General features: G+C 47.4%; 1 protein-coding gene and 2 long non-coding RNA genes across 8 annotated transcripts in view; 2 read left to right on the top strand and 1 right to left on the bottom strand.

The window, feature by feature from the left end:
• Window positions 1-227: 227 nt before the first annotated feature.
• On the top strand, window positions 228-7,379 carry LINC02009 (long intergenic non-protein coding RNA 2009). The gene is made up of 5 exons (NR_151704.1): window positions 228-350; window positions 1,097-1,210; window positions 2,403-2,522; window positions 4,232-4,378; window positions 4,849-7,379. It is a non-coding gene; the product is annotated as a long intergenic non-protein coding RNA 2009 (long non-coding RNA).
• A 6,992-nt stretch (window positions 7,380-14,371) lies between these two features.
• Window positions 14,372-16,636, bottom strand: CCRL2 (C-C motif chemokine receptor like 2). 3 transcript variants are annotated; one of them, XM_011534208.2, is made up of 3 exons: window positions 16,595-16,636; window positions 16,393-16,506; window positions 14,372-15,827 (listed from the first exon to the last, which is right to left on the bottom strand). In XM_011534208.2, exon 3 carries the CDS (start codon window positions 15,813-15,815, stop codon window positions 14,781-14,783), a length of 1,035 nt encoding a protein of 344 aa, XP_011532510.1. In that variant the 5' UTR covers window positions 15,816-15,827; window positions 16,393-16,506; window positions 16,595-16,636; the 3' UTR covers window positions 14,372-14,780. The 3 variants fall into 3 exon arrangements, with proteins under 3 accessions (XP_011532510.1, NP_003956.2, NP_001124382.1); NM_003965.5 differs by having other exon boundaries at window positions 16,393-16,636; NM_001130910.2 differs by lacking the exons at window positions 16,393-16,506; window positions 16,595-16,636 and adding an exon at window positions 16,201-16,280.
• A 192-nt stretch (window positions 16,637-16,828) lies between these two features.
• Window positions 16,829-19,512, top strand: part of CCR5AS (CCR5 antisense RNA) — a 43,083-nt gene continuing 40,399 nt past the window's right edge. For all 4 annotated transcript variants that reach the window (NR_185891.1, NR_125406.2, NR_185893.1 and 1 more), the window contains exon 1: window positions 16,829-16,998. This is a non-coding gene — a long non-coding RNA (CCR5 antisense RNA). The remainder of the gene's footprint in view (window positions 16,999-19,512) is intronic.

Here is a 19,512-nt window from a genome sequence, read left to right as displayed (position 1 = left end):
AGATGGTTGTGCTTTAGTCAGGAGTAGGCCGAGGCAGCCTTCTGGTGCAGCATGACTCAGTGGGTTTGGAGGCAGGCACACAACTCCACACATTATGTAACCATGCCATGTGAGGTGCATTAGGTGACCACTCATATGAGCACGTGCTTGGCTCAAAGCCACTATTGTCTGTAAAAGGTAAAATTACCCTGCTGACACTACATATGGCTTGCACCCAGAGAGAGAATAAAGCCATGTCGAAACCGCCTACTCGAGTGTTTTTCCAGTTACCTGCCACCCACCCACCAACTCCCCTTGGACTTTAGTTTGGGCTAGAACCTGACAATTGGCATCACGAACAGGATCCTAAGGTAAGTGAGCCTTCGGTCCCTGCTGATTCCAGGTTGGCCATGTGACCACAACATGGGTTGTGGTACCCGGTGGTAGCCGTGCTGTGAGGGTGGGCCTGAGTGGAAACCTGGGTGGCAGTAGATGGGTCCCCCATGAGCATGGAGAAGGCGCTGAAGCAGCTGGAAGTGCAGAGCACCAAGAAGGAGAGAGCCTTTGCTGGCAGAGTTGGATGGGCATTTTTAACTGTGCTAAGAAAAGTACACACCCAGTCCCTGAGGGATGCAGACTGGAGGTCTGGCTACACCGATCTGGAAAATAATTAGAGGCTGCCATGAATGGGGACCTCCAGGTGCAGGCAGGATGCCTGGAGGTGTGGCTTCAGAGCTTGGAAAAGGAATTAGAGGCTACCATGAATGCAGGCCTGGGTCCATCATCTTGTCTGGAGATCCCCACTCAGTTTCATACCAAGGAGGAAGAACCCCTGTTGCGGGCTCACCCGGTGGTCTGACAGAAGGTAGATCATGAACAGCCACTGGGGCTCCAAGGGTGGACTCAGGGACTCCCCACCATAATGCAACACATTTCGTATATTGCCTGTACCCCAACTGAGTTGCAGGAATTAGGCAAGCAGTGTTGCCAGTGTCCAGGGGAACCCCTGCCTGCCTGGATGCTTCGTCTGTGGAACAAGGGAGCAGATGGTATCTCCCATTCCACCTCTGAGATGGACAAGCTGGCCTCCACCATGACTCACCCCTCTCTCTGTCAGCGGCTGCAAGTGAGCAGGTGGTTAGTGGCAGCGCAAGGAGACCACACCCTGACTGAGTGGCTACAGGCAGCCATATGAACTGTGTGGAATAATGCTGGTGAAATGCCCAAAACTGTGAGTAAATGGCAGTCATATGCCAATTTGGTGTAAGTCATTCGGGAGATGGGTATGCGGCAGGCTATGTTTGTCCTGAATACCTGAGGGCCAGATGATAAATGTTTCACCTCCCACATGAGGGATCTCATGTTGGGTTTGATGCTCCTGAGCCCCTTTGGCTCCCTAGCTGCTGTCCTCACCCCATACGTAGGGCACCGCATACATGAAGTAACCACTGCCATGGCGGCTCTCAGGGAAGCAGAAGGCCTTCAGGGGGATTGGAGGGTCCACACCATAAAGAAGGGGAAGTTACCCCACCCACAGGGGGCTCCCCCATAAAAAAAGGGGGCCCCAACGAGTGACACGCTCACAGATGTGGATAGATTTGATTTTGGCTGGGGTTGACTGAGAGAAAATTGATAAGCAGCCCAATGAAATACTCCTAACTTTGCGGAGACAGTTGTATGCAGGGCAGCAATTCCGGAAAATGCCCAAAGGGGAGAAAGGCATTGCTGTGTGACCTGGTCCTACCCAGCTCAGAGACTACTTGCTGCAGCCAGGTGGAAATGTAGAGCCTTTTCTGTTCAACTAGGGAACTGGCCAAAGGTGTCTGGCTTGGGGGGACACCAGATGACCAGAGGCCACATGTGGAATTGGCAATCCACTGGTCCCCCACCAATGTACAGTGGGTGCTGGTGCTGGTAGATACTGGCATAGATTGTAGCCTTGTTTATGGGAACCCAGTTAAGTTTTTGGGCAAATCTGCATATATTAAAGGTTACGGAGGCCAGTCAGTGAAAGTGAAACCTGTATCTCTGTACCTTGGCATTGGCCACTTGGCTCCTTGCTTATACACTGTGTATGTCTCTCCCATACCTGAATACATTCTGGAGGTGGATATTTTACATGGCTTGGAAGCTGTGCCATCTATCATGGATTTGATGAACCACTCGACAATGGAATTAGGACAGTACCACTATGTGGTGGACTTGGCCAATGCATTCTTCTCAGTTGACCTTGCTCTAGAGAGCCAGGAACAGTTTGCCTTGATGACAATGGACTTTCACAGTGTTGCTGCAGGGCTATGTGCATAGCTCCACCATATGTCATGGTCTTGTTGCCATGGATTTAACAGCCTGAAAATGTCCAAAGGGAGTCCACTTGTTCCATTACGTTGATGATATTATGTTAACCTCTGATTCTCTTGCAGATTTAGAAGCAGTGGCACCCCTCTTGTGGCAACATTTGGCAGCATGCAGTTGGGCCATCAACAAATCCAAGGTCCGAGGGCCTGGATTACCTGCTAAATTCTTGGGAGTTATCTGGTCGGGTAAGATGAAGGCCATACAAGAGGCTATCATTGACAAAATTTAGGCATATCCCTGGCCCACCACGGTGAGGCAGCTGCAAACTTTTGTGAGCCTCCTGGGATATTGGTGGACATTCCTGCCTCATTTAGCTCAAATGATAAAACCATTGTATCAGTTAACAAAGAAGGGAGCAATCTGGGATTGGGCTGATGTGGCTGAGACTGGCTTCCTGGCAGCCAAGTGGGCTATTCAGCAGGCACGAGCCCTGTGGGTATTTGACAAGGGGTGCCCATTTGAACTGGATATGCATGTGACCACAGATGGTTTTAGTTTGGGCCTGTGGCAGCACACAGAGTGCCTGAGAATGCCAGGAGGCTTTTGGTCCCAACTATGGAAAGGAGCTGAGCTCTGGTATTCCTTGATAGAGAAATAGCTAGCAGCTGTATATGCTGCCCTTCAGGCTTGTGAGAAGTGATAGGATGGGCTACAGTCACAGTGTGGATGACTTACCTGACAGCGGGATGGGTGCATTCATGTGTAATGACCCCCCAGACTGGGATGGTGCAGACATCCACTTTGGCAAAGTGAGGCACTTACTTGGAGCAACAGAGTACGCTGAGCACAAGCCCATTAGCAGCAGAGTTGCAAGAGGTCTTGGGACCTGCAGTCCTAATGCAAGAGAAGGCCATGGGGCCTGAGGCACCCCTTGACCCTGAGCCACTGCCATTTAAGGAAGGGCGTCCCTCTATTCCTGATGGGGCATGGCACACAGATGGGTCTAGTCGAGGTGCTACTCCTGCTTGGACCAGTGTTGCAGTCCAACTTAGTACCAAAACCATATGGTTTGAAACCAGATGTGGACAAAGTAGTCAATGGGCTGAATTTAAAGCAGTATGGATGGTGATCAACAAGGCGGAGACACCTATGGTAATCCGTACCGATAGCTGGGCAGTCTATGGAGGCCTAACTTTGTGTTTAACTACTTGGAAAATACAGAATTGGCTAGTTGGCCACCAACCCATTTGGGGCCACCAACCCATGTAGCAAGACCTCTGGGAAATGGGTCATTGCAAAGATGTAACTATTTATCATTTGTCAGGCCATATGCCTCTGGCCACCCCCAGCAATGACGAGGCAGAAGCCTTGGCCAAGGTCCGATGGTTAGAGTTGGCATCTACATGAGATGTGGCCTTGTAGCTACACCGGAAACTGGGACATGCAGGGGGTAAACTGATGCAACAAGTCAATAAATGTTGGGGTCTGTCTCTGCCCATGCAAGACATTTGGGAGGCTTGTCAGAAATGCCCGGCATGTGCTCAGGCATACCCTAAATGGAGGCAGCTGTCCAGTGCTACACAAGTGACAACAGGGCAAGTGCCCTTGACCAGGTGGCAAGTAGACTACATTGGGCTGCTGCCGAAGTCACAAGGGTATACTCATGCGCTAACAGCTGTGGACACAGCCACAGGCCTGTTGTTTGCCTATCCTTGCAGGGTGGCCAACCAACAGCACACCATCCAGACCCTGCAACACTTATGTGCTCTATATGGTTGCCCTTTGGTCATTGAGAGTGATGGGGGACACATTTTACTGGACAACAGGCACAACAATGGACATAAAGTAGGGATTCCATGTACCGCACAACTTGCAAGCTGTGGGTATGATTGAGTGATATAGCGAGCTCTTGAAGAATGGGTTTTACTTGCATGTCACACTCCTGTCTTTGCAGGGCTGAAGTTCCAGGCTGGACCTGATGCTCCAAACCTTGAATGAATGGCCATGGAAAAGCAGCCCAGCCCAGGTGGAGGCTTTGTTACATGGGCCACCACCCCTATTCAGTTGCAGATACACACCAAGGGTAACCGCCTCTGACCAGGTATGGGGATGAACAGTAACCTGTTGTTGCCTGCCCCAACGTCCCTGAAGGCAGGGGAACAGAAAACCTGGCTGTGGCCATAGCCCCTCCAAGCCCCCGGCTGCTGGTGGTTGTCCATCGTAGCTCCCTGTGGGGAGGGCCTACAGTATGACTTGTATGTCACTCTTTGGGTGTTCAATGAATGGTCCCCGAAGTTAACTGTTTGTAGGAAAACGGCCAGGGAAGAAACTTTCCTCCAGGGTTCAAATGTACTGTCTGTGTGGCCTACTACAAGCTCCCCTGTGACTTTCGCATGAATACAGGACCCAAAGGAACCATGGGGAGCTGAAAAGGTGTGGTACTATTGCCCAGGGCAGAACCCCTTGGGGGCTGCATTGTTATCCAGGGATGAAAGGTTAGCCTGTATTTTACCTGAGGGATGTGATTTTCCTCTGTTAGTACCTATGCCTACTCTGTCATTCCAACTGTAGGTTAACATGCTCCAACTGCATTGTGGACTGGGCCCACACCTACACTGAAGTGACCAATGTTTCCAACTGTTGGATCTGCACCGCCCTTCTAGCAGCTGCAGATGGCTTGCCTTAGCACATACATTCAGCATCTGCAGAGAACCAGACATGGCTGGAGACTTGGGGTCCCATGGCTGATGCCTGGAACGCAACGTGGCAAGTTTTGGACAAAGGATGCCACAAGACCCACAGCACAGCCATTCCCTGGCTGGCCCATAGCATTTATGATGGGTGGGGCTGGCTAGTGAGGTAACGTGCAGTACCCCTGGCCCAGGCACTGTGGTGCATATAGCAACACTGGGGTAATAGCACTGTGGGATGGGTACCCGTCACAGTGTGTGTAAGCATAATACATGTCACCACACCAAAGGTATGGTGGAAGACGCGGCCCCACCAAGGGGCCTCGATGGACTGTGTGCCCCCTGGGAGTTTATGGGTCTGTGGGGACACAGGGTGGCCTTACCTATAAGCAAACTGGACTGGACATTATACCTGAGGGTGGCCTCATGTACCTGCCACTGTTCTCACATTGCCCAGATGCCTGCATAACTGGGAGGTGCTACACTCTCGGTTTTTGCAAGTGTAATGAGCACCCTGGTGGTTTTACCCCTTGACAGGCACTAGCCCTGGAGTGTGTGTCACAACTGTAGAAGCCAAGTTACTGCTCTTGCAGAGCATGCTGCTCAGGCTCTGAATTACACCTGAGTGGCCCTCTTCCCATTAATGGATGAGGTTGATCAGATCAGAAAGGTGGTGTTGCGAAACCGAATGGTCTTAGACATAGTAACTGCTGCCTAAGGAGGCACCTGTGCCCTTTTAGGAACACAATGTTGTACCTTTATCCCTGACAATTGGCAGAACATAACAGCAGCCCTGCAAGGGGTCTCACAGGAGATTAAGGTAGTCAAGAGCCTTACTGATGACCCCCTGCAGAGATGGTAGACATCCCTGGGCTCTGGCCTACGCTGGGCCCTGATAGTCATAAGTAGCATAGCTGGAATCCTAGTCGTGAGCTGTTGCTCTCCGTATTGTTGCTGTGGATTATGGATTCAGGGCTCCACCCTACGGGCACATGTCCCTACCTGGAGGATGCCCCTGGCCTAGGGGTGGAGTGTAAGGAAGATGGCTGCGCTTTAGTCAGGAGCAGGCTGAGGCCACTTTTTGGTGCACCATGACTCAGTGGGTTTGGAGCGTAGGCACACGACTCCGCACATTATGAACCATGCCACTTGAGGTGCATTAGGTGACCACTCACGTGAGCTCGTGATTGCTTCAGAGCCTCTATTGTCTGTAAAAGGTATAATTACCCTGCTGACACTGGACATATGGCTCGTGCCCAGAGAGAGGATAAGGCCATGTTCAAACTGCCTATGATTCCTCGGGTGTTTTTTCAGCTACCCCTCACCCACCCACCAACTCCCTTCGGACTTCAGTTTGGGCTAGAACCTTACACCCACATAAACTAAAGCTGTATGGGGTCCTCAGTTTTCAAGCACATAAAAGTATTCTGTATCCAAAAAGTTTGTGAACCACTGCCCTAGAGAAACTTTCCATGGCGTGCAAGATGTATGTAAGAATGCCCAGTAGAGACATAATAAGAAACCAGAAAAAGTGGAAATCTCAATGCCTGTCATCAAGAGAGATAAATGCAGCGTGGTCTATTTCTGTTCTCCTCACATTGCCCAGATGCCTGCTTAACTGGGAGGCGTTATGTTCTCAGTTTTTGCAAGTGTCATAAAGGAGTGAATGGAGCATTACCTGTCATTATAGACACTGCAAAATGAGCTAGTAGCAGGATTTTTACCACAGGTACCCATAAGCAACATGTGGCATGGTTCACCATGGTTTTACATTGTTGTGTAAATAACTTAAAATTATGTGAATAATGTAAAAGCATGGTGAACAATGCCATGTTTTGCTTATGGGTACCTGCGGTAAAAAGCAAAAATCATGACCCTGAAGGGGTGAGCAGGCCTACAGGTGCTGGGCAGGCACTGTCTTGCAAAGAGCACAAAATGTGCAGGTCCCTCTGGGAGTGTTATAGTGGGTAGCTAGTCAGAAAGAGCAGGGCAGGAGAGGGCTCCCCATACCCCACACACCAGGAGTGTCAGGTGACCATCAGGTGATGGTCTGGCGGTTGTTGACTGTCTTTCTAAAGTAATAATTGGTCACACCCGGCAACAGGGAAAAGCCGGCTCCTAATAGATAGAAAACACTCGAAACTGGTGAGCAGTAGTTTCCCTATAAGATCTCAGGAGTTGAGCCAGTGGGCTCAGGCAGGCACATGGGACAGCCCACCCCAAGGGAAGAACCAGGGGAGAAATAACGCAAGACCCCGAAAGCATGCTGACGTATAAAACCCCAAGTCAAAAGGTCAAACCACGCACTTGCTTTTTAAGTCGTCCACTTGGCCCTCTTCCAAGTGTACTTTCCTTCCTTTTGTTCCTATTCTAAAGCTTTTAAATAAACTTTTACTCCTGTGCTAAAACTTGCCTCAGTCTCTCCTTCTGTCTTATGTCCCTCAATTGAATTCTTTCTTCTGAGGAGGCAGGAATTGAGGTTGTTGCAGACCTGCGTGGATTTGCTGCCAGTAGCAGGAGCAGAGGACTAGGCCTTGGAGACGGTGAGGGGGCCACTCCCTCCCTATCCCCAGGCATCGGTAAGATCTGAGACAGACTGCTCTTCCCTTGGAGTGTATTGCTGACCTTGCCAACTGAAAATAAACAGCTTCTGATAGTCTTTACTAACAGATAATAGAAAAGAAAAATTGCCATCTGCACACCAGGTGCCAGGAGAAGGGTTGATTAGCTGCAGAAATGAAACAACACCTGATCCTGCAGCTGCAGCTGGAGCCCCCGCCTGATTAAGTTTACACTGGTCCACTGTCATTTTCCAACACCTATTTGTCTTCTGCACAAACCAGATAGGTGAGCTGAATGGAGAGAGGTGGACATCATCATCCTTCATCTTTCAAGTTCTTGCTACAATTCCTCCAGACGTGCAGTGTTGTTTTGTTTAGTATCTTGGCAGGTAGAGGGAGTTCCAAAGGCTTCCACTTGGCCTTCACTCTATGGATCAGAGAATCAATATGGGGATTCTTCCCCGATGCAGAGTATCTCTATTCCAATTATGCTTTCTGTTAAGAAGATTGTTTCTTTCTGTTTCTCCAGTTGATGGGGGCACTGGGCTTATAGTTCTCTGTGGGAGGAGTTCTAATTACAGATTGGATTTCTTTAGTAGATGTGAGATTATTCACATTTTATATTATTTTTCCATGTCAATTTTCTTTATTTTTCTTTGTCTTTTTAAAAGATGGGGTCTCACTATATTTCCCAGGCTGGTCTCAAACCGCTTGGCTCAAGTGATCCTCTCACCTTCGCCTCCCAGAGTGTTGGGACTACAAGCATGAGCCACTGCTCTCAGCTCAATTCTGCATTCTGGAACTGGGGGAATAACTATAGGATAAGTTCAGGGACCCTCTAGACTCACAGTGAAACAGACCTGAGCTCAAACTCTAGTGACCCCTGACCTCTATGAAGCCCTACTTTGGCTGGTAGACCACAAAGATATTTTGGGTCTCTTAGAACTGGTGTCAGCGTAGAGCCAGTGTCCTGGAATCTCCAAATAGCCTAATTATTTCCTTTTCCTCCATGGCTTTCCCTGGTAAATGGCCCTAAGTTGCTTTGGGGAAGGCTGGGAAAAAAGATTATCAGAATAAAATGCCGGAAATGTAACAGGGTCCTTCCTCAAGGGGAGCCAGCTTACCTTTCATTCAAGGGGTTCTAGGTCTATAAACTATGTCAAATCTGGGAATTGATTGAATTGACTCTCAGTTCTGGTGACTAAAGTTAGACTTCTGTTCACTAGAGATAGAACTCTTCTGCTTATACAGATCAGGTAAAAATTTAGTAGACCGTCCTTCTATTTCAATTCCAGGGACACCATGATCAACCAGCCAATGCCAAAGACCTCTGGGGGTCAGACTATTCTGAGGACTGCTTTGGCTCCACCGTCCACAGTGGCAACCACACCCACTTGGTCTTTTGTAAGTGTTACCACGTGGCCTGTCCTTCCTCAGAATCCCACCATCCCCCCTGTATTTAGAAACTCCAGTTTTGTAGCATTGCTCACTACAGCTCCTGATCTACAGAGAAGAGCCACCACTTAGAGATTTTTTTTTTTTTTTAAAGATGCGGGACATGGATGAAGCTGGAAACCATCATTCTCAGCAAACTATCACAAGGACAAAAAACCAAACACCCCATGTTCTCACTCATAGGTGGGAATTGAACAATAAGAACACATGGACACAGGAAGGGGGACATCACACACCGGGGGCGGGGGGAGGGATAGCATTAGGAGATATACCTAATGTTAAATGACGAGTTAATGGGTGCAGCACACCAACATGGCACATGTATACATATGTAACAAACCTGCACTTTGTGCACGTGTACCCTAAAACTTAAAGTATAATAAAACAAATAAAAAATAAAAAAAAATAAAGATGCTGGAGCTCATTTACACTTCCCAGTGTGGCAAGGGTGTGTCCTCTAGACCTGCGCTGGGTGGGTGAGTGAGTCTTAATGATCCAGTAGATCCACTAGCACTGCCATCTCCCTAAGCACTTAGATATTTTCTTCTATGTGACACCACTGAAGTTCTGGCATTCCTACTTCAATGAGTGTAGGCCACCTTTGGGTTGATTTTTATTCAACCGACAAGCAAAGTGTTAGAGCCATCCACGGCTCCTCAGGCTAAAGCACTGACTCCTTCCAAACTCTGGAGGGGCTGCTCAGATGGAAACTGGGATTCCCAAGTGTGGCAGTCCTGCTGTGGCAGTTTAGGGAAGAGGAAAGGCCTGGCCGGGGCTGCCACCCACCACACTGTCACACTTCCTGACTGCCTGCTAAACAGAGTCCTGGGATCATTTATCTTTGCTCTAGTTCTGACTGCCGAAAAATATTTAGTTTTTAAAAATGAATAAATACCTTAAAGTTAAGGTGGTCAGATTTCGGGGAAAAAAAAGAAAACAAAGGGAAAAACAAAACAAAACAAAAAACAGGATACTAGGATGCCCAGGTAAGTCTGAATTTCAGATAAATAACAAATACTGCAATTGTCGTATATGGGTTGTACTTATACTAAATAACTATTAGCTGCTTAACTGAAATTTAAATTTAACTGGGCATCTTATTTTGTTTTTTCAACTTCAAATTGTATTGTTTTTCCATTCAGTATATCAACTGTTTCCTGTTTTAAAACTAGTTCCGGGCCAGGTGCAGTGGCTCACGCCTGTAATCCCAGCACTTTGGGAGGCCGAGGTGGGTGGATCACCTGAGGTCAGGAGTTTGAGACCAGCCTGACCAACATGGTGAAACCCTGTCTCTACTAAAAAATACAAACAAAAAAAAAAATTAGTCAGGCATGGTGGCAGGCGCCTGTAATCTCAGCTATTCAGGAGGCTGAGGCAGGAGAATTGCTTGAACCCAGGAGGCAGAGGTTGCAGTGAGCCGAGATCACACCTTTGCACTCCAGCCTGGGCAACAGCGCAAGACTCCATCTCAAAAAACAAACAAACAAACAAAAACTAGTTCCATTTGTACCCACGAGTACACAGAATTGAGATGAAAAGGAGACAGCTCATGAGATTTCAATCTCTCTCTCATATGTCCCTAGTTAGAATTACCTCAATGTAACAGGAATTGTTTTTTGTATTAGAAAGTAATTTACAGACAAAATAGAAACACCAGTTTTTCTTGAATAGACTAGCCATATTTTGCTTTTCATGGTTTGTTAGTTTTCTAATGCAGTCACTTATGGAAAAGTGGAAAAGCATGTGCTATTTTTATCTTTAGGAAACTGTGTTCTTGGTCTGACATGGGAGGAAGACCTTGTTAGCTGTCAATGTTCCAAGTATATTACACTACTTAAGTGTTCAGGCCATTGTGGCTGGTGTCATTCAGCACACACTTTTGCTTTTCATTAACCATTTCAGTCTCAGCCACCATACGAGTTTATGGATCTTTATTCTCTATATGCTCCATGTTTTCATTTGGAAAATCCTGATAAGATTGTTCTTTGAGTTCATTGCTGTGTCTGTAAACATGGGAAGATGATGCCATTTCCTCTGAGATTCCTGTCCTACCTATCGGAGGAGGAGAAGTGGATGGAGAGTCCGGACCTACTTCTGCAAATGTGTGAAGAGAATTTCTGTCCCTTCTTCTCTTTTTCTTCAACCTTTCTCATCCTTTTTTAATATAGACTGGATCACTCTCTTCCCTGGTCTCTCCCTTGACTTGCCCTGGTGATTTTATTTGCCATGGCAGGTCATTCCCGATGAGACTGTGCTCCCTGTGGGGGCACCCCCAGCAGCCTCCTTCTGCTCCCTGTTCGGTGATGGGGGTGACAAGTTGTGCCCATGGGCATCCCGTTTTAGCTGCCAATTCTACTTGGGAGAAGAAACAGAGGCCCAGGCACTGGATCTCCTCCGGCAAATGCTCAAAGTATATTTCCAAGACAAGTCACACCAACGTAATGGAGTGCCTGGAGCCTGAGGGGGATTTTAAAAAATAGCCTTTTTGAGGTATAGTCAACACATAATAAATCACGTATACAACTTGTTACGTTTTTGACATATGTATATACCAATGAAACCATCACCACAGTCAAAATAGCAGACATATCCACTGTCCCCCCGAATTTCCTTGTTCCCCTTTGCAATCTATTCCTCTCCTCTCCCCTCCAACATCTCCAGCAACCACTGATTTGCTGTCGCTATGGATTTGTTTGCATTTTCTAGAATTTTATATAAATAGAATCACAAAATAAGTACTTTTAAAAAATATCTGGCTTCCGGCTGGGCACGGTGACTCATGCCTGTAATCCCAGCACTTTAGGAGGCCGAGGCAGGTGGATCACCTGAGGTCAGGAGTGTGAGAGCAGCTGGCCAACATGGCAAAACCCCGTCTCTACTAAAATTACAAAAATTAGTCAGTTGCTCTTGTGCATGACTGTAGTCACAGCTACTTGGGAGGCTGAGGCATGAGAATTGCTTGAACTCAGGAGGCAGAGGTTGCAGTCAGCCAAGATCACACCATTGCATTCCAGGCTGGGTGACAGAGCGAGACTCTGTCTCAAAAATAAATAAATAAATAAATAATTAAAAATAAAATTAAAATCTGGCCTCCTTCATTCAGCATTTTGAGATTTCGTGCATGCTCCTGTGTGTATCAATAGCTCGTTTCTTTTTGTGGATGAGCAGTATTCCATTAGATACACAGGCCAGTATTTGTTTATCCATTCACCTGTTGATAGACAGACTTTTTCTAGTTTGAGGCTATATAAATAAGGCTGTCATGAACATTTGGGTCCAAATCTTTGTATGGACATACATGCTCATTTCTCTTGGGTAAATACTGAGGAGTGAAATGGATAGTAGGTATAGGCTTTGCTTTTGGTGACACTGCCAATTTTTCCAAAGTGATTATACCATTTTACATTCCCACCAGCAGGGTATGAAAGTTCCAGTTGCTCCACAACCTTTTAGAAGCTAGAAAAATTGCCATTTAAAATGTCACCATCAGTTTCTTTCTTTCTTTTCTTTTATGATAGTGACCGGCATTCGCCTTTGGAATGTAGGGATCCTTTGTTCTAGGAAGGACCCTTGAGTGACTTCTTGCAGTTTTATCTATTACTTGTGCCCATTCCAGCTCACCTTGAGGTCAGACCCATAGCCCTATTATGACTCTGAAAGAGCAGAGCCAGCTACAAGCCCTCAATGAGTGGCATAAGGTGCCAGAGAAGAGTCTGTCATCATGGGCTCAGCAAAACTGAAATCCCTGGCATATATCATTTTATTCCTCTTCCTAATTTCTCTCCAACTGACGCTGCTTCATATTTCCTCTCTGCCTCCCTCCACTGCGCTTCCCACCCTCACATCTCCAAACCTCTCTACTTTCCTGAATAATTCACCCCAACTCTAAATTCCACATTGTCTTCAGCACAAAGCCAAACCCTTACTTAGCTGAGTTTCTTCTCCCTGGAACAGTGGTTCTCAGAAGGAGGGCCTTGGGTCAGCAGTATCTGCATCCCCTGGGGAATTTGTTAGAAATGCATATTCTGAGGTCACACTCCAGACCTCCTGAACCACAAACTCCGGGATGGGGCCCAGAACTCTGTGTTTTAGCACAGGGCTTGTGATGTGAGCTGGCATTTGAGAGCCACTGCCATGGAGTGTGGTTTGGAGCCAGTTATTGTTGTATAAGCATGTCCCTTGGGGGTCTCATCCGCTATCCTAATAGGCTCTTTGAATGTTTCATCTAACACAAATAAGGGGTCTTTGGTTATGGGGTGGCATATGGAGAATTCTCATGTTTGGAAAATCAGATTTTCTCCACCTCATTTCATCAATATAGAGCAAATTTCCTTCCACCACTGTTGAGTAGGACATTAAGGACCCCTTTTAATTGGCCAGAGACTTGGGTTTTAATGAGTCAGACATCTCTATGTGTCCCTATGTGAGATGCTGTGCCCATGGGTATCATCGTTTTTGCCTAGGAAGGAAAGTGCCTCCTGTGAAGGAAAGACAGGGTTCCACTGCTTTCCTGTAAGGTTTAGTGCCGTGAACGTGTGCCTGATGCCAGGAGGGGAGGAGTGTGGGCTGGTGCCCTGCAGTGCGGCAGCAGTGGGCGGCCTGGGTAGGTTTTTAGCAAGCATCAGTGCCAAGCCTCCAGCTCTCTTTAGTGCAAGCAAGATGCTGGGCCAGCAGGAGGAGGCAGCCAGCCCAGGCCCTATGTCTGCAGGACTCAGCCGGGAGTGGTGATTGTCCCCTGGCAGCAAGGCCCTGGTAGCTTTGAGGCCTCAAAGGGCCAGAAGCAAGATTATAAAGAGACCAGTGAGTGTGGAGTCCAATTCTGAACACCAGGAACAGGAAAATGTTTTTAGGATCAAGGATGCATCATCCTTACGGATCTGGGGGGTCTCCGGGGAGGTAGCTCACATGTTGAGGTGACCTTCTGCTGATGTGGCAGGTGGGAGCCTGTGTTCTACTAACTCAGCCACAGAAAGGAAGTGGGACAACCTTTTGTAGTTATGTGCTGGTGAGGCCTGAGGTATGTGTTATACTTAAAAGGACAAAGCATTCATTTTGTTAGACATTTCTAAACATAATTTCTCATTTGCTTTTGTTAAGTCTCCTAAGATTCCATAGTCTTGATAAAGTACGAGAAAATACCAGAAACCTTGGGTTAGGGGAAGCTGGGGGCCTAGGGGTGTGGCAAGTAAGCAAGAGAATTTAGAGAACTTCGACAGAACAAGTTACCTTACCTCTTTTTCCCACAGCTTCCAGCTAGCTAGTTCTTCTCATCACCGGCGAGGCAATGAGCCTGAAAAGTTACTCCCATATAAATGGGCTGTCTATAATTTGGAATGTAGTTAAATTGGTTTTAAAATCAACTTACAAATTATTTTAAAATACATTAAATAGATGTTTTAAAATACATTTATTTCATGTCGTTTGTCCCCAGGGTTTGGAGTTTGATGTTCTGGACCAAGCGTAGGCTCTGAGCAAATGCTACCAGGGCTGGAGAATCAGTTCTGCCACTTCCTAGTTATGTGATCTTAGACAAATTTCCGCGCCTTAGTTTTCTTCTCAGAGAAATGAGACTAGTCCTATCCACACTATGGACAAGTGGTAGGAGGCGAAGGAGCTCACGTTTGTAAAGAGCCTTGCACGGTGCCTGAGACAAATTCAGTGCTTAGCAAATGTTAGCTCACCTCTCCCTTTTCTTCCTGTATCCGATTTTGTATACAAATGTGTAGAAAATTTACATGAAATAATGCAGAAAGATGAAAATCCATGTTTATTCTTCTTGCATTTGGTGGATGCTAGTTTACACTTCGGTGGAATGGTCAGGTTCTTCCCTCGATGTGCCTTGTGCAGACTGCCCCCTGGGTTGAAGTGGGGTGTTACTACGCAGATGGAAACAGCGGCAGAGGTATTTGCTAAATGTCCCATCAAGAAACGCATACAGGAGAGGGTTGATGCAGCAGTGGGTGGTGGCGATGAGTTTAGTGATGTGAACACTTTTGTCCAGATTGTAGCTGCTCTTGCAGTCACTCAGGGAGAAGTGTTCTTTGAAAGTGGACAGGAAAAATGCAATATTGTAGGGCGCCCACATCAGAAGGAAGACTACCATTATGGCAAAAACAAGCTTGAAAAGGCTATACCTCTGCTCCCTGAACCTTAGTGTTTTTCTCATTTGCACATAGAGAAATGTAAAAATAAATAGGGGGAGGACAAGAACCGAAATGTTCATTTTTAAAGTCAGAAAATGCTTCCAGAATGTCTCATCAGCTGGCAGGAAGGGAGTTCTGCTAAATGCACACTTGTATTTCTGGTCTTCCATCTGAGGTTTATAAACCACGAATTCAGGCAAAGTGGCCAGAATGGCTGTTACCCATGCCAGGACACTTGTAATGATGCCACAGGGCACCCTCCTCCTGGCTGAGAAAAAGTTTCCCTTGTGCAAAAACACTAGGTACCTTTGCACAGTCAGAAGGCAATTGAAAAATGTCTCACTGTACAGGCCCACGAAGTACAGTCCAATGAGAATTTTACACATGGGATCGCCCCCAGCATGAGCCCAGAAGGGCAGGGTAAGCAAGAAACACAAGTTAGAAACTGCCAAGTTTAGAAGATAGATATTTTCCACGCGTTTGAGTCCTTTATATTTTACCAGGATAAGCACAACCAGGAGATTGTCCAGGACACCGATCACAAACACAGCAGAGCAGAGTGATGGCACCAGCTGGGCTGAGAGTGCCTGGGCGTCATACTTGTCACATTGCTCTGCCTCATCGCTCTCCAGTTCACCTTCTATGAGGACATCATATTCATCCTCTGGTGCCAGCGTGTAATTGGCCATCTTCAGACTGCCCTGTGGAGAAATGGGAGATGATTTTCCCCTCCGACAGCTGCCTTATCCTGGAGGAAACAACAAACTGGACCTGGATTCATACAGCCCCACTTTCCCTTTCTGGAGCTACATTTTAGCCAGAGTAATTCCCTATTTCAGAAGACTGAAATAAACATTTCTTTAACGTGTGCCCACTTCCCCAGAGCAGCACCATTCCCAATCTAGTTGTTAAGCATGTAAGTGCTTAGCAGTGTGCCAGGTGCCACGGGAAATAAAGCTGGCATGACACCGCCTTGGTAGAACTTACCTTCTTTTAGCAGAAACAGGACTTGCCTACATGAACACAATATGTAAGAAAATATATAATTAAAGAGAACCAAGTACGATGGCTTACTTTTAAGAAACGGGTGTAGATCATAATTTCTGCATTTTAAAAAGTTTGCTCACCCCCCGAAGCAGCTTCCTGTGACAGCTGAGACGTTTTTCTCTCGAAGGGTATAAATAAATGTTTGCAAAAGTGAAACCATGCTCAGCATCAACATGGCCATAAGGGGTTAAATACATAGATGACACACAGATGACTTACCACTGGGCTGAGCTCCTGCAGGGGAAGGGCGCAGCCTCCAGACCCAGCATCCGGGAGCTGTGGGAATGGCCCCGGACAGTGGATGCCCTCCTTTTGATCAGACTGCTCCTGACCCTGAGGGGCACGAGAAACCACTGTTGATTCCCCTGGTGGCTCTACCCGCCCCACTCACCGAGCTCAGGGACCAACTGAAATAAAGTACTCAAAAGCTCCCCCAGGCCTCCAGAGGATCTCTGAAGCGTCTGAAAGCAACCGGGAAGTTGTTTCCTCCTCCCTCTGGCCCTGTACCCCGCCTTTGATTTCCCTGTGACCTTTGACAGCCGTCTTCTGGCCTTCTGAGATAAGGGAACTGTGTCACTGCCGCTCTGAGTGGTAGCAAGGAAGTGATGTCAAGGTGCTGAGAACTGCCAAGACGCTCTGGCTTGTGGCATGTGACACTCTGAGTAGGTAACAGGTACCAGCTACTGTCAGCAGGGAGGAAGGTATGTGGTGACCACGAGTCCAGACCTGAGGGTCCTGACCCTCTAATGCGGCCTCTCACCAGTGTTCGCAGAAACCCACCCGCTGATTCAATACGGGGACCAGGAACCTGCCATGACAGTCACGGTGTGTTTGGGTTTTTATTGTCATTTTTGAGGGGCACTGTGTGCTTTGGTTAAGACTGAGGCCTCAAAAGAGAATTTTAGGAAAATGGAAGCCACAGGGTGATGTCAGCTGGGAAAAGGCCAGGGGCAGAGGTGGGGTCTCAGCGGCAGTGAGCATAGGGCTGCCCTGGGTGTCAACACTGAGGAAAGCAAAGGGGTTTGCAAGCAGCCAGAAGTGATTGGTGCTGTGACTCATGGGGGAGCTGACCCCACTCGGAAAAGGAGAACCCAGAGGAGGAAAATCCCGTGGTGATGACACAGAGGCGACATCAAGTTGGGTGGGAGAGAATGTGAGGAGGACAAGTTTAACCCCAAACTGAGGCTGGGGGCTAGGGTAGGTTTGAGTCCAGAGAGAAGGAAATTGAGAGAACAGCCCAGATTTGGAATGGTGGGAGGAGGCTGTGGGGAGGGGAGGCTGTGGGAAGAGAGTGGGACGGGGAGGGCACGGTCTGGAAGAAGGACGAACCGAGAAGAGGAACTTGAAAATAATGAAAAAATCTAGATGAGCTTCTCTTGGGTCAACGACTCAGCAGCTGTGACTAACCTAATTTGGGGATCAGACCTATTTGCTTAGAATTTATATATTGATTAAATGACATCCTTTTCCCACCAAAGATGTGTCTGAGGTAGGATTGAATACAAAATTTGTACCTGTCAAAATAGAAATAGAAAATTAAGAAACTAGCCTGGCACTGAGGCGCATTCCTACAGCCCCAGCTACTCAGAAGTATGAGGTGGGAGGGTCGCTTGAGCCCAGGAGTTTGAGGCCAGCCTGGGCAACATAGTGAGATCCCGGATCTATAAACAATATAAAAATTAGCCAGATGCAGTGGCAAGTGCCTGTAATCCCAGACATTCCAGAGGCCAAGGTGGGATGTTCACGTGAGCCCAGGAGTTGGAGGCTGCGGTGAGCCATGATCATGCCACTCTGCACTCTGGCCTGGGTGGCAGAGCGAGACACTGTCTCTGGAAAAAAAAAAGAAGAAGGAGGAGGAGGGGCGGGGAGAGGAAGGGAGGAGAGAGAACTATTAAGAGAAAAATAAACACAGAAAGAGCCCAGACAAATATGTGATTGAGCATTAAATTTAACTCCACGTGTGCCGACAGACAAGGCAGAAAGAGAAACACAATGATGTTTGATGGCAGAGGAGTTGGTGCTGGTGGGAACCTAAGCTGTAAGTGCCCTCTCCTCTCTTGTGTGGGTCTCCTGTGAGTGAGTGAGTGGGGGTCATGGTGCCCTGGGACACTCTTCCCACCCCCTACAGCCTGGGATCAGCAGTGGCCCCTCCTCCTGGGTCTCTCCACCTCCTGCAGCTGGGCAGGACACTCAGGATCTTGAATGAGTAGGTGCGGGCAGCTTTACTCTCGATACTCATGGATCAGTTCCAGGAAAAGGAAGGAAAGTCAAGTCAGACTTTGAAACTTGCAAAACGCTGGGAGTACGCACACTCTTCCTCATTAGTAGAGGACAAAAACAGCAGTCAGGCACCTCATGTACCGCATGTCACAGAGTCATGTGAGATGTGAAATTTCCCAAGTAAAAACACAGAATCATGTGAGGTGTGAAATTTCCCAAAGAAAAATGTTTTGTAAATTCAGGATCACCCTGGCTTACTAATATTAGCATGACCTTCACTTTCAGTATTATTTTATTTTTGCCTGATTCCCAGCATTCTGCCTATCCACACTCAGGCCATGAGGTCCTTGAAACTTCTACATAGGAAGGAAGGAAGAGTTTAGAAGGCTGCAGTTGAGGCGAAAGGAAAGTTCTCTTTATTATTCTCATATCTGAAGCCATAATAGGGCCTCCTTGTTTGTGAAACGACATCACATTCTGCAGCCTTGGCAAGTGGTCCACAAAGCTTACCTCTGAAGGTCTGAGTTCCTCTTTATCACTATAATTTGACCCCAGTTTTAGTCGAAGGAACTATCACTGTATACTCTCATTCCCCACTACGTGTAGATCACTCATTTACTTAATTCAATTATTCAGCAAGTATTTCTAGAGTGCCTAGCCTGTGCCTAGCTCTGTTCCAGGTGCTGGGGATGCACCAATGGACAAAATAGGCAAAAATCCTGACCTTCACAGAGCTCAAGTAAATTGTAGATTAGTAGGAGAGAAGTGCTATGGAGAAGGCGAAGCAGGGAAGGACAGCAAGAGAGGCCAAGGTGGCTCAGGGATCACATTTTAAATAGTGTAGTCAGAAAAAGCCTTGCTGAGAGCTGGCTGTGGTGGCTCATGCCTGTAATCCCAGCACTTTGGGAGGCTGAGGTGGGTGGATCACTTGAGGTCAGGAGTTTGAGAACAGCCTGGCCGACATGGCAAAACTTCATCTCTACTAAAAATACAAAAATTAGCCAGGAGGGGTGGCGATGGGTGCCCGTAATCCCAGCTACTCGGGAGGCTGAAGCAGGAGAATCACTCGAACCCAGGAGGTGGAGGTTGCCGTGAGCCAAGATTGTGCCACTGCACTCC

Source organism: Homo sapiens, chromosome 3, assembly GCF_000001405.40.
Source record: "Homo sapiens chromosome 3, GRCh38.p14 Primary Assembly".
In the NCBI taxonomy this organism is placed as follows: domain Eukaryota; kingdom Metazoa; phylum Chordata; class Mammalia; order Primates; family Hominidae; genus Homo; species Homo sapiens.
This window is presented reverse-complemented; position numbering and strand designations above follow the sequence as displayed.